Source organism: Homo sapiens, chromosome 6 (genome assembly GCF_000001405.40).
Source record: "Homo sapiens chromosome 6, GRCh38.p14 Primary Assembly".
NCBI classification, from domain to species: domain Eukaryota; kingdom Metazoa; phylum Chordata; class Mammalia; order Primates; family Hominidae; genus Homo; species Homo sapiens.
The window spans coordinates 151,054,560-151,068,927 of NC_000006.12; the positions used below are offsets into that span (position 1 = coordinate 151,054,560).

Below are 14,368 nucleotides of genomic sequence, written 5' to 3' on the forward strand. Positions count from 1 at the left end.
ACGTCATTACTTTAAAAACAAAAACTCGGCCAGCAGCAGTTCAGTACATCTTCAAAGATCTTGACTTGTAATTTTTTCCCCTGCATCTTCTCTATTGAGCACATGAACTGACATCTTTCTACCCCCAAATAATCAGTTCTTTCCCCCTAAATAAAATGGGTAATCCAAAAAAGACCCATCAAAAGGAAGCTAAAGATAGTAATGCCTAGGTAGTTTCGGGACCAGAATGATTGTCTCTAAATATGTACATGTACAGTGATTACGTGTTTAAAATGTTTAATGACTTGGAGAAATAGTGTGTTGAGTGGAGAAAAATGAGATTTAGTAGAGCATAACGTCAACAGTGTAAAAATACATAGAAAAGCAAGCAGGAATAAAGGAATGTTTAAATAAATTACAAAGATAAAAATTAAAACCGTAATTCAGCCGAGCCTGGTGGGTCATGCCTGTAATCCCAGCACTTTGAGAGGCTGAGGCAGGCAGATCACTTGAGGTCAGGATTTTGAGACCAGCCTGGCCAACGTGGTGAAACCTCATTTCTACTAAAAATACAAAAATTAGCCGGGCATGGTGTTGGGTGCCTGTAATCCCAGCTACTCAGAAGGCTGAGGCAGAAGAATCGCTTAAACCCAGGAGATGGAGTTTGCAGTGAGCCTAGTTCGCGCCACTGGACTAGACTAGGTGACAGAGGGAGACTCCGTCTCAAGGAAAAAAAAAAAACTTAACTAGAACATTTATTGAGCACTTACTAGGTGCCAGCTAGTGCTCTGAGTGCTTTGTGTGTATTAACTCATTAATGCCCCCAGCACCTCTTGAGGTAGATTAAAATCTCCATCTCGGTTTTACATGCAAGGAAACCAGAGCAGGAAGAGCTTCAGGAACTTGCCCTCCTAGTAAAGATAGAAAGTAGCAAACCCAGGATTCAACCCCAGAAATATTATATACTATGTTTGTGCTGAATCTTTTTTTTTTTTTTTTGTTTTTGGAGATGGAGTTTTGCTCTTGTTGCCCAGGCTGGAGTGCAGTGGCGCGATCTCGGCTCACCGCAACCTCCGCCTCCCAGGTTCAAGTGATTCTCCTGCCTCAGCCTCCCAAGTAGCTGGGATTGCAGGTGCTCACTACCACGCCGGCTAATTTTGTATTTTTAGTAGAGACAGAGTTTCTCCATGTTGGTCAGGCTGTTCTCAAGCTCCCGACCTCGGGTGATCTGCCTGCCTCGGCCTCCCAAAGTGTTGGGATTACAGGCGAGAGCCACCGCACCTGGCCTTTGTGCTGATTCTATAGTCTTATTTTCACATCCTATCAGTTACTGTAAGTAACTCTTGATTCCAAGAACTGTATAATAGGAAAGGGTAGCTTCCAATTATCTACTCTTGCTTGATAATGCATTAATTCCACATAGCCTTTAAAAGTTTAGTAAATTTTAGGATAAATTTTCGAACTGTTATTTCCTATTGGCTGTTAGAAAATTGTGTTGCTCAAAGGGGAACATGTCTATTGTGCCTTGTGGAGATTTTCCTACAGCTTTTCTGGCTGACCCGTCACTTGCACTCTGGAACTCTCCTAAACCAGATACGGCCCACCACGTGGCATGGTGTGGATCCTGGACTTTCTGTCATCCGTTAGGTTCATATTCTTGAAGCAAGTCTAGAACTATTTTCTGAGAGATTCCCTGGCTGTTGTTCTGTGTTTGGGTGGGTTAGTCACCTTTTTAGGTGAGAGACTTGATTTGGGTACACAGTTTCACAAAAGTATTGTCAACCCTGCTGGCCAAGTGACTGACGTGCTGGGCATGGGAGCACACTCCATCGGCATGGCAGAGTGGATTCACTCCATGCCATTGCCAGAGAATAGGACTTTGAACCACAGCCACCCGGCTTTTTCTGAAAGGCCTGCTTGGGCAATGATGCCTGGAGAATTATCTGAAGAATGCAGTCTGTCCATTCCTCTGGAGATGGTCTAGTTTTTATCCCCAGACCAAGCTGAACCTCTTAGAGCTGTGCATTTATATTGTGTGGAATTGCCTTCAGCGACGTGTTCTATAACGTCGTGTTCTTGTCACCTTTTGAGGGACACTGGTGCTGTGGGGAAGATCCTCACCAATACGCAACAGCAGGGCCCTGTTCTCTCACCTGCCATCCCCTCTGGAAAGCTCACAGAGAGGGTTTCCTGGGTTGCTCCTTTTCCAAGCAGGACTTCTACTGTAGACTTACAGCTCCAGTTACAAGCCTGTGTGCTTGTCTGTTTCCCCACAAGGTGTTCTGACCTGGGAGGGAAGGGACGGAATCCTATTCATCTCTGAATCCTAAATGCCAGGCCTAGCACTTGGCACACAGTGGGTTCCAGTTGTGGAATGAATTTTTTTCAGTCCTGACAATAAATGTTGGGGTTCTTTAGTTTGTTTGTTGTTATTGTCTGTTTTATTTGTATTTTGGGGTTTTTTGCTTTTTCCCCCAGGGAATGAAAATGCCTTCTCCATATGAACCAGACATATCCTGGGGCTGGGGCTGAGTGTCCTTTGTTGTTTGCTCTAATTATAACTAATGAACAGTTCAGCTCTGGTAATTGTAGGCTTGCTGGACCCAGTGCCTGCCTTCTAACTGAATCTTGACTCTGCTCCATTATGTATTTTCCATGATCCTGATTTCTGTCAATCTAATTTTTAAATTTCATTCTAAGGCAAACCTGCTCATGTTCTTCGCTGAAATCAACCTCCCCTTTCTGGAATGGACATATGGAAAATTGGAGGCAAAATATAATAATGGTGGTGACTCAGACTGCTTTAAGGCCTGAGAGACCGGCCAGGTACTGTGGCTCACGTCTGTAATCCCAACATTTTGGGAGGCTGAGGTGGGTGGATTGCTTGAGCCCAGGAGTTTGAGACCAGCCTGGGCAACATAATGAAAACTCATCTCTACAAAAAGTTACTGGGCTCAGTGGTGTGCACCTGTAGTCCCAGCTACTCAGGAGGCTGGGGTGGGACCATCGCTTGGGCCCAGGAGGTAAAGGCTGAAGTGAGCTGTGATTGCGCCACTGCACTCCAGCCTGGGCAACAGAGTGAGACCCTGTCTTAAAAAAACAAAAAGACCCATGAGACCTAGACTCCCCCTGTCAAAAATACTCACACACACACATATACGATAAGATAGTATTTCTACCTTTTCTTTCTCAAAACATTCCACAGAACAGTCTTACCTTCGAGGAGAGCCGTATGCATGACCTTTTGTTTGTTTGTTTGAGACGGAGTCTGGCTCTGTGGCCCAGGCTGGAGTGCAGTGGTGCCATCTCGGCTCACTGCAACCTCCGCCTCCCAGGCTCAAGTGATTTTCCTGCCTCAGCCTCCCAAGTAGCTGGGATTACAGGCGCGTGCCACCATGCCCAGCTAATTTTTGTATTTTTAGAAGAGACAGTTTCACCATATTGGCCAGACTGGTCTCAAACTCCTGACCGCACATTATCTGCCTGCCACCACCTCCCAAAGTGCTAGGATTTCAGGCATAAGCCACCATGCCCAGCTGGAGGCCTTATTTTTACTGCTATTCAGAGAACCTGTGGCTTATCCATGGAGGGCTTAAGCTTTGCCTTTTCTCTTGCTCATTTCCATACCTAGCAAGAGCTTAAGCTGGTTTATTGCACTGACATTCTAATGAAATATAAATAGCTTCTCAACAGAGAGATAAGAAAGAGGAGTATCTAGTACAGCAAGACCCTCTGGGTGGGTCAGGGCCAGCTGGGGCCGTGCCGGGGCTCTGAGTGGAGGAGGTGGCGTGGGAGCACTGATGCTCGGGCTCTGTCACATCCGTTTTTGGCATTTGTCCTGGCAAAGGCTGCATTTCTGATCTTTCAGAAAGCTGTGGGTACACTGTACAGAAATGTGTTTTGCTTGCTTTGAAGGATGACCTACTGGCTGACAGCCAGCCAGAATTAATTCCATATACATTTGCAGATTTTCAGTATGAGAGACGGCAATTAGCCTACAGAAACCCATTTAACCCCCGAGGTGGAGCTGTATGGTGAAGACTGTTATTTATGGGAGTCTGTGTAATTTGCCTCTGTGACAAGGGACAGCCATGGCTCAGGAGGGCCCACGCCACCCTCCTTTTCAAGGACTCCTGCCCCTGCCTGAGTGGCTTGGCCTGGCCTGGCCATGTGAGTCTTGTGGACACGTGCACATCAGTCAGGGACCCCTGTGGTATGGACCAAAGGGTTGTTTTTTACTGTTTTAACTTATTTAATAGCATCTCATCAGTATTACAGGCATGTGCCGCCACGCCAGGCTAATTTTTTTTGTATTTTTAATAGAGACGGGGTTTCACCATATTGGCCAGGCTGGTCTTGAACTCCTGACCTCAGGTGATCACCCCGTGTCAGCTTCCAAAGTGCTGGGAGTACAGGCGTGAGCCACCGCACCTGGCCCACAGAGCTTCTAAAGGAAATGTGTTGGTTTTTTAATCAAAGTTGAGGCAGTGCCTCAGTGAGGGGCAGGCTGGAGCAGTGGTAAGCGCGCTGAAGGAGTCGGGCTCTCTGGGCCCAAAGTCCTGCCCTGGCCACAGAGTGGCTCCCTTCCCCCTGAGGTGGGATGATGTTCTCCAGGGCCTTTTAGCTCCAGGCTGCTACAGTTCTAAACTGGTGGTGGTGGTGGTGGTGGTGGTGGTTGTGGTGGTTGTTTTAGATGCAGTCTCACTCTTTTCCCCAGGCTGGGATGCAGTGGCATGATCTCGGCTCACTGCAACCTTCGCCTCCTGGGTTCAAGCGATTTTCCTGCCTGCGCCACCACGCACAGCTAATTTTTGTATTAGTAGAGTTGGGGTTTTGCCATGTTGGCCAGGCTGCTCTCGAACTCCTGACCTCAGGTGATCCGCTCACCTCAGCCTCCCAAAGTGCTGGGATTACAGATACGAGCCACCGCACCTGGCCATGATTGTTGTTTTTATAAAATCAGAATATAAAATTTGAAAATGTTCTTTTTTGGTGAGAAATGAGAACTACCAAAGGAGTAAAATGCTCTAAAAGCCATCAGGTCCTTCCCACAGTATTGAGGCTCTGCTCTTACCATTTTGTTAAATAAGTTTTGTTCCTAACACTCTTTGTGATATGAAGTATTCTTGCTAATCAAGCTGCCCGGAGACTGGCGTTTCCCAGAGCAGTTTCGAAAGTGGAAATGATGCTGCATTTCCTACCCACAGTCTGGAGGGTGGCTGTGCTCTCTGCACGGTGGGTCTGTGCTGCTCAGTTACGGGATGGTAAGGGAAGGCTCTAACTCGGTGTCTTACACCATGCACTAGGGAGTCGCCCGCTTTATTTACGAGCGAGTTGATGCTTTCAGTGGGTTTTGGCTTTGCCTGGTTCCAGACTCAAGCCCTTCCTCTAATGTAGGGCGGGTACAAGAGAGACTTGAGCAAGGATATTGGGATTTAAGGGAAGGGCAGTGCAGGCCAAGGTCAGCAAGAGGACATCTCTAAGATGAACAGCACTGCATTTGTGGGAAGCAACCCTGCCATAAACAACTCAGTTAACGTTTACATAGTAAATAATTGCATTGCCTTGGGCTGGAATAGGGACGCCAGAAGGTATAGGACCATGTGGAATTCAGAAAAGGGAGCCCTGAAGAATGAGATTTTATTGTTCTTACCAGGAGAGTCCAGGTGCTAGAGTTCTCTCCTTGTAAGTGACTAACCTTCTCCCTTTTGGTACACAATCCTCAGATGAACGGAGATGATTCATTAGGCCATTCTAGCTTAATGGATGCATCACTGTGCAACCACGCAAATGCCTCATTTCTGATTCACTCATTTAATATTTATTGAGGAGTGCTGGGTACTAGGCCATTAGAAGAACAAACAACAACAACATAGGCCTGGACCTTGCACTTGCAGAGTTCACAGGCTAGAGAGGCACACAAGTTAAATATAGAGACAGCTGAAAGAGCTGACGTCTGGGACAGAGGGAGCCCCCTGCTCCAGGAGCCAGGGAGCAGATGCCATGGGGGGCTGGCAGGGATAGGGAAGTCAGGCCAGGAATGGGGTTACCTAAGCCGGATCATGAAGGACGAGAACAGACTCACCAGGGGTCGAGGGACAAGGAGGCAGCAAGTCCGCAGCATGAAGGCAGGAGAGAACATTGCTGTAAGCCTTTACCATGGCCACTGCATGGGGAGGAAACAGGAGATTTGGAATGAGCTGTGACACTGGGCAGGAAAGCAAGACCCAGGTCTTGTGAGGCCTTGAGCGTCAAGCTTAGGAGTCAGGACCTGGGGATTTTAAGTACAGCAATATCATAATTACATTCATGTTTCAGAGAGATCACTCAGGCAGCAGTCTGGAAGGTGGAGTGGAAAACGGAGAAATTAGTCATGAAGACCTATTTAGAAAGTAGTAGGCAAGAAATACCCAGGGCCTAACCTGAGGTGTAGGCAGGGGATGGGAATGAGAGCAATTACCGAACTAGAATGAACTAAACTCAATGAACAGGAGCGGGGAAGAGGGAATGCAGAAATGGCTCTCAGATTTCTGACTTGTTCGCTTAATGACTGGGGTTGTCATTTGTTTAGATAAGCAATAAAGAACCTAGAAACAATTTTAGGCGGAAGATAGTTGTGTTGGGAGCCCCTAAGACCATGATTTATTACAGCACAAGGATACAAAGCAAAATTAGCAAAAGGAAACAGCACGTGGGGTCAAGTCCAGGGGAGCTCAGGCGCAAGCTTCCAGAGTACTCTCCCCATAGAGTCACACAAGATACACTTAGTTCCTCCAGCATTGAACTATGACGACACCTGAAATATTGTCTGCAGAAGAGGCTCATTAGAGACTCAGTCCCCAAGGTTTTTATTGGGTAATGGTCACGTACCAAATTTCAGTCTCTCAGAACAAAAGCAAATGTTCAGCATAGACCATTTTGTTTGTGAAATTTAGGCACAGTGAGCCCCTCTTGTCAGTTAGAGGATAGTTGAAACCCTCCCACAATCCAAGTTCTCAGACTCAGGCCTGCTACATTATTTCTTTCCTACACAGTAGTGGATTTGGTTACTAACATGTTGGATCTGAAGCATTTGTTGTAATTTACAGTGAAGATGTCCACTGCACAGTTCCGTATTGAGTCTGAGGTTCACTGGAGACATCTGTGCTATCAATGAAAGTTTCTGGAGTCATTAGCCCCTCAAAGGGTCATTAAAACCAGGTCTTCTAGAGAGAAAGTCTAACCCTGTATTCCTTTAAACCACCATAGAGACCATCTAGTTCTTCACATTATAAAAATGAGAAAACTGAGTCCCCAGCGATGTGGCTTGGTTGCACATTTTTCTATTTCAAGTCTGTTACTCCTTCCATCATACCAGACTGCCTCACAAAATGACAAAGTCAGGCATTGTTCATAAAAGAACAAAATGGCATTTAGGTTATAAATCAGGCCCTTGTAAGTTTGGTTAATACAACTTATTTCCCAAAGATCCTGGTCCTCAGACCCTCAAAAGGAGAGCTGATCACATCAAGGCCTCTACCTGGAAGGAATTTCTAAGCAGCCTCTAAGTCAACTGTTCATGTTCAGTCCACCTTGATTTACAAAGAACAGTGAATCATTAAGACCTTTCTCTCCAAGGCCGGGTGCGGTGGCTCACGCCTGTAATCCCAGCACTTTGGAAGGCCGAGGCGAGCGGATCACGAGGTCAGGAGATCGAGACCATTCTAGCTAATACGATGAAACCCCGTCTCTACTAAAAATACAAAAAAAATTAGCCAGGCTTGGTGGCGTGCACCTGTAGTCCCAGCTACTCGGGAGGCTGAGGTAGGAGAATGGCGTGAATCCGGGGGGCAGAGCTTGCAGTGAGCCAAGATCGCGCCACTGCACTCCAGCCTGGAGAACAGAGACTCCATCTCAAAAAAAAAGACCTTTTGCTCCTCTTTGCTCTTGTGTCTGTTTAACAGATTTTTATGTTAACAGGCACTCTGTTTGCCACTAGGAATAAAAAGATAAATGGGACAAAGTCTTTGCCCTCAAGTTACTTATATTCTAGAGCCAAGAAAGAGATAGATGAAGAACACATCTTATATATTAGGACTGTGTTGGGGGCAGGAGTAGGCAGAGTAACCCTTTGGATATGGGAAATGAAAATAAATCAAACTCAAAACAAGTTTATTATTTGCTTGAAGCTCTGGTAAAAGATAAAGTGAAACCTGCAAACTGTAAAATGAAGTTGCTGCTACACATTTCTCCAGTTTTGGATTTCATTCTTGGATGGCCTTTAACTTGGATAGAAGGATACAAGACAGCCATATATATATATATATACAGCTGTTGCTCTTTAAGATATCCACTTCACCCTGTTGTGGGGTGGGAGGAGGGGGGAGGGATAGCATTAGGAGATATACCTAATGTAAATGTCGAGTTAATGGGTGCAGCACACCAACATGGCACATGTATACATATGTAACAAACCTGCACCTTGTGCGCATGTACCCTAGAACTTAAAGTACAATAAAAAAAAAAATTAAAGAAAAGAGATCCACTTCGCTCAGCACATGTGATTTGGCTTTGGTCTTTGGTGTTAATTTGGATGCCTAAAGAACTGACTTTCCTTGATGCTCACTCCAGCCTTTTTAGGACTAGATTGGATACATTTACATGTTTGCTGGCTGTTTTTTCTACAGTCACACATCCTACCCATAATAATATTGCAATATTCTAAGTTGTCTTGGAGGATATCATCAAGTAGGTGTCAAGTAAAACTTAATGGTAGACTGTAAATTTTAAAACAAGTTACAGGTCATTTGTGTAGTCTCTCTCTCTATATATATTAAAAGAAACAAAACTTTTCCCTCTTGAATCTTTATTCCTATCTCAGCTTCATTTATTGCCTCGTTTGTCATCTAAATGGTCTTTGTTCTTTCAGCTTTCAAACATGATTAATTGACATTGTGCAGCATAGCACAGGGAAAAGGCTGAATATTTTGTATGATGAGTAATCTAGTTAAACGCCCATCTTTCTTTTCAACTTTACCAACAAATGTGTCTTATGCAGATGTAAGGGCGGTTTGCTTATTTCCCTGTTCAAAATTTTATGCTATTAGCCTAGCATAGCATGTTTCTTTTCCATTGAGCTAGCCAAAAATAATATTGACAAATTCATGAAGCCTTCCATCTGATACTGTTGCAAACTTATGCAAATGTATTTTAGACTGTTAAGGGAATGTAAGAATTAAATAATTAAACATCCAAATGTCAAGAATGGGATAGGAAGAAGTAACTGGCCTCATGTTGGAAGTTAATGAAATATTTGAAAATATACCTTTAAAATCAAAGACATGAATTTGTGTTTTGGGTTTTTTTTTTTCAGATTTGAATAAAGCAGAGTATAATATTATAGTTGCTGCAGGAAGTTATGAGCATTTCTGGAAGTGCTTATTTTCAGCACATGCTACTTAGAATTTTAAAGGACATTCAGTGTATCTTTGTCATGAATCTTTCTACTGGGACCAGGCCACTCCTGGATGAACTCACAGATTGAGAGCTTCTCAAAATGTAAAATCAAATTGTCTTTTAAAATATGCTATTTTAAAGTTCTGGAGAATCAATGAACTTTAAATGAAAATCGGCCAATACTTGGCAAAAAGTCAATTTGAAGAGTTGTCTCTTTATAATCTCTGATTTCACTTATAGAGCTTGCTTCCAAAAAAAGTACTACGTATGTCATAAATCTGAAATGTTTTGCTTTTATGCCATTTTTAAGTCCTGATAAATATTCTTGAAGTGTTAAATTATTATTATTATTATTATTTGAGATGGAGTCACTCTGTCGCCCAGGCTGGAGTACAGTGGTGTGATCTTGGCTCATTGCAACCTCCGCCCCCCCGGATTCGAGTGATTCTCCTGCCTCAGCCTCCCGAGTATCTGGGATTACAGGTGCCTGCCACTGCATCCGGCTAATGTTTTGTATTTTTAGTAGAGACAGGGTTTTACCATCTTGGCCAGGCTGTTCTTGAACTCCTGACCTTGTGATCCGCCTGCCTCGGCCTCCCAAAGTGCTGGAATTATAGGCATGAGCCGCCGTGCCCAGCCAGTGTTAAATTATTTTTAACTTGTTAGAAATAATTGTCCCACAACTTACTGAAGGTTGGTTTAATATTCACTATTGTTCCCAAAAAACTCTTAAAATATTAAACCAACTCATAGCTCATAACTTTTCAAGGTAGCAAGTGTTTGCTAATCTTAAAATGTGTTACTATTCTTTTTTTGTTTTTTTTTTGTTTTTTTGTTTTTTTGTTTTGAGATGGAGTCTCCCTCTGTCACCCAGGCTGGAGTGCAGTGGTGTGATCTTGGATCACTGCAACCTCCACCTCCTGGGTTCAAGTGATTCTCCTGCCTCAGCCTCCCCAAGTAGCTGGGATTACAGGCGTGCCACTACGCCCAGCTAATTTGCTTGTATTTTTAGTAGAGATGAGGTTTCACCATGTTGGCCAGACTGGTCTCGAACCCTTGACCTCAGGTGATCCACCCGCCTTGGACTCCCAAAGTGCTGGGATTACAGGTGTGAGCCACCATGCCCGGCCACTATTCTTAAGTGACCTTCTGCACATCTCTGTAGTTTTATGCCTGGTGATGGCGTTTAATTTAGGAGTATCTGGCATGCCACTCCAGTCTGACAGCTAGGGGCATGTTAGCAAAGGGGGCATTTTTCAGGTGAGTGGGTGAGCATAGCCGTGCTGACCATCTTTCCTATCCAGAGGGAAGGCCTAGCAGGGACTCACGCCATCTTGACTTGCCTGCCCCAGGCTCCCTCTCACTGCTCCCCTGGCCTCTTCCTCTTCTCCAGACAATGGGGCCTTATGCTCGCTGTGTTTGTCAGAACTCTCTTGTGGTTGTGGCTGCAAGTAAGAGAAACTCAACTCGAGCTTATTCAGAAAGAGGGGATGGATTGACCCAGATAACAGAAAAGTGCTAGGCTAGATCTGGCCTTAGCCACAGCTGGATCCAGCCTTCTGGCATTTGTGCTCCGTTCCTCAGCCCTGCCCCACTGGGAGTGATGCCTTCTGTTCACAGTGTGATCTGCTTCATACTCAAAACTCCCTATCCAGAGGAAGAGGAATCTTTTCTCTCCCACCATCTGCACAGCAGTATTCAGGAATCCCCTGCCAGGCTCTGTTGGCCTCATGTGCCCTGTCCTAATCCACCACTGTGCCCAGCCAGGGTGTGGCCATACATGCCCATCCTGTGCATAGGGCAGGAGCAGACCCACCTGCACCACATGCGGTGGCCGCCATGACCACAAGACCAGGATAGGAGTGCTGATCAGGCCAGACCCCAAGGGCTGTTGCTCAGACCATACCTGGCCTGTAGAGTAGAAGAACTAAATGTCTCACACAGGCAAAGACTACTCTTCAATTCCTTTAATTGCAGGTGTATGTTGGAGTCCATGAAATACAAAGTTATTGAGAAGCATAACTAAATTTATAGTAGCTCCTCATTATATATTTTCATGTTGATAGGATTCTGCCCCCATGGGAATTAATTTTCTTCATCAAAAGTGATCTCCATACTCACAAACACTGAATAGCTTTGGGCTTTTAAAAACAATGTTTTGGCTTTAAAAGAACCACAGGAGGCTGGGCGCGGTGGCTTACGCCTGTAATCCCAGCACTTTGGGAGGCCGAGGCGGGCGGATCATGAGGTCAGAAGATTGAGACCATCCTAGCTAACATGGTGAAACCCTGTCTCTACTAAAAATACAAAAAAATCAGCCTGGCGTGGTGGCAGGCACCTGTAGTCCCAGCTATTCAGGAGGCTGAGGCAGGGGAATGGTGTGAACCCAGGAGGCAGAGCTTGCAAGTGAGCTGAGATCATGCCACTGCACTCCAGCCTGGGCGACAGAGCAAGACTCCATCTCAAAAAAAAAAAAAAAAAAAAAAAGAACCATGGCAAAAGTGTCCTTTAGCCGGGTGCGGTGGCTCACACCTGTAATCCCAGCACTTTGGGAGGCCGAGGCGGGTGGATCACGAGGTCAGGAGATTGAGACCATCCTGGCTGATACAGTGAAACCCCGTCTCTACTAAACATACAAAAAATTAGCCAGGCGTGGTGGCAGGCGCCTGTTGTCCCAGCTACTCAGGAGGCTGAGGCAGGAGAATGGCGTGAACCCGGGAGGCGGAGCTTGCAGTGAGCCAAGATTGCGCCATTGCATTCCAGCCTGGGCAATAGAGCAAAACTCCGTCTCAAAAAAAAAAAAAAAAGTGTCCTTTAGTCTACTGTTGGTTCTTCCAAAGAGCCATCCTTTCGCTGATGCTTTAGGAACTCCCAACCTGGGTCCTGTCAAGGATAAGCTCTCATCTTATTCCCACAAAATTCCTAGAGTTACTCATCATTTTCCTTTCATATTCAGCTCATTAAAGCAGTTTGTAGGTCTCTGTAGTCCATATTAGTAAGTGTTAAAAATGTATCAATTTGATTTTTTTTTTTTTTTTGAGACAGAGTCTTGCTCTGTAGCCCAGGCTGGAGTGCAGTGTTGCAATCATGGCTCACTGCAACCTCTGCCTCCTGGGTTTAAGGGATTCTCCTGCCTCAGCCTCCTGAGTAGCTGGGATTATAGGCGTGCACCACCACGCCTGGCTAATTTTTGCATTTTTAGTAGAAACGGGGTTTCACCACGTTGGTCAGGCTGGTCTTGAACTCCTGACCTCATGAGCCACCGCTCCCGGCCATCGATTTGATTATTATAAAATCAGGTTATATTGGTTTGACCAGTTAAAAACATCACAGGTTATTTAATCTTTTTATTTATTTATTTATTTATTGAGACAGAGTCTGGCTCTGTCACCCAGGCTGGTGTACAGTGGTGCAATCTCAGCTCACTGCAGCTTCGACCTCCTACGTCCAAGCAATTATCGTGCCTCAGCCTCCTGTGTAGCTGGGATTCCAGGTGTGCGCCACCACACCCAGCTAATTTTTGTATTTTTAGTAGAGACCAGGCTTCACCACGTTGGCCAGGCTGGTCTCGAACTCCTGGCCTCAAGTGATCCACCCGCCTTGGCCTCCCAAAGTGCTGGGATTACAGGTGTGAGCCACTGTGGCCAGCTAATCACTTTTTTAAATCACAATTTGTGTTACGTTCATGAGTAATGGGTGCCAGAAATAATGTTGTGTGTTAAACATAAATGTAGATGGGTAACCATGTATACAAATGCATATCTCCTCAACCCAGAGAGTGAAATTTCCCCACCCCAGTGACCCTGCCTCGCTGTATGGTTCATTCTTCTCCAGGAATTGAAACATGGTGGCAGCCTGCCAGCTTGGCGTTACCATTAATTCTTATTCTCTTCCCCTGCCGATGTCATGGGGACACCAGCCAAATGAACTCTGATGTGTCTCACGTAATGCATGTGGACTTCTGGTGCATGTAAACAGAGGGTGGTTATTCTTGATTGCACATTTGTGATTTTTAGTGAGGCTCTAAGGGAGAAGCAAGAGGACTTGAATAACAGATTTATTCTCGGGCACTGGTACATGAAAGAGATGAGTAATGCCAAACAAATAACACAATTCTGATTCACGCCATTGGTAATGGAGGAGACTTCTGGGTAAACAAACCAAAGTAACAGCTAGAATGCAGATCTGATCACAGCAGTGTGTTTTGATTCAGTCTAAAGATGACAAAGAAAAGTTTCTGCTGGTCCTATCTGTAGCAACAAGGGCCTGCCCGCCTGACCACACTGCAGTGGAACAGCCACATTGTGATTTTGCGGGCCTGAAGCCTTTCGTCTGGTGACCCTTTAAGAGGAACTTGAGCCAAGATCTTATCAGTGATGGAGATGGAGACACCTCAGGATTTTCCAGTATCGTTTTTCACTTTTTGTTCTTGGACATAGTTAATAACGCTGCCAGGTCTTTCAAATGCTGAGGCATTTCCTCATAGCTCCAAGTAGCTGCTGCGGGTCAGATTCTGCTTGAACCGAGGGTTCAATTACAACATCCGTATGCTTTCCAGCCCACTCTCTGACCTTTGTTCTTTTTTTCAGTACTTTTTCAGGCTCTTAATGTTTCCATCCACTAATCTCAGGAGACTCTGTAAATATTCTGAGTATACATAGCCCAATTACTTTTGAAAAGCTAATTTAATAGAAACTTCTTGATATGAATTGAATAAATTTTTTAACTTAAAAATCATTTACTTACAACTTAAGACAGTTAAACTTGAGAGTATTTGAAAGCTAGTAAACTTCAGAGCTTTCTTCAGTAGGCACGAACTTTACCATTTTTCTGACACTCAGCACGGTCAGCAATGACACATTCATTGGAGGACTCATCAATATCCCTAAAAATAGTAGCAGTACTCGTGCACAGCCTGATTTCTTTTGAACTTGGCTCAATTTCTTGGAAGCAT

The 14,368-nt window shown here is 44.9% G+C and overlaps 1 protein-coding gene across 25 annotated transcripts in view, besides 3 other annotated features; it reads left to right on the top strand.

Moving 5' to 3' along the window:
- Window positions 1-14,368, top strand: part of MTHFD1L (methylenetetrahydrofolate dehydrogenase (NADP+ dependent) 1 like) — a 236,186-nt gene that overhangs the window by 188,858 nt on the left and 32,960 nt on the right. For 7 of the 25 annotated variants that reach the window (XM_047418609.1, XM_005266907.6, XM_011535730.2 and 4 more), the window contains exon 27: window positions 2,680-2,805. The exons of the other annotated variants lie outside the window; for them this stretch is intronic. In XM_047418609.1, coding sequence (XP_047274565.1) covers window positions 2,680-2,793 — 114 coding nt within the window. In that variant the 3' untranslated portion in view covers window positions 2,794-2,805. Of the gene's footprint in view, window positions 1-2,679; window positions 2,806-14,368 lie in introns of those variants that run through there. 25 annotated transcript variants of the gene reach the window in all.
- Window positions 5,507-6,706: an enhancer, noted in NCBI's record as "P300/CBP strongly-dependent group 1 enhancer chr6:151381202-151382401 (GRCh37/hg19 assembly coordinates)". NCBI's record gives its function as "activates an origin of replication core promoter dependent on BRD2, BRD4, P300/CBP, MED14 and CDK7 cofactors, with strong dependence on P300/CBP, by STARR-seq in HCT116 cells {active_cell/tissue: HCT116}" and the evidence as "EXISTENCE:reporter gene assay evidence [ECO:0000049][PMID:35650434]".
- Window positions 6,954-7,123: an enhancer, noted in NCBI's record as "experimental_90950 CRE fragment used in MPRA reporter constructs". NCBI's record gives its function as "activates a minimal promoter by MPRAs in K562 erythroleukemia cells, with activity observed for the non-introgressed 6:151382734 or rs77396312 variant allele {active_cell/tissue: K562}" and the evidence as "EXISTENCE:reporter gene assay evidence [ECO:0000049][PMID:34662402]".
- Window position 7,039: a transcriptional cis regulatory region, noted in NCBI's record as "Neanderthal adaptively introgressed variant 6:151382734 (GRCh37/hg19 assembly coordinates) or rs77396312 in the experimental_90950 CRE". NCBI's record gives its function as "modulates activity of the experimental_90950 enhancer by MPRAs in K562 erythroleukemia cells {active_cell/tissue: K562}" and the evidence as "EXISTENCE:reporter gene assay evidence [ECO:0000049][PMID:34662402]".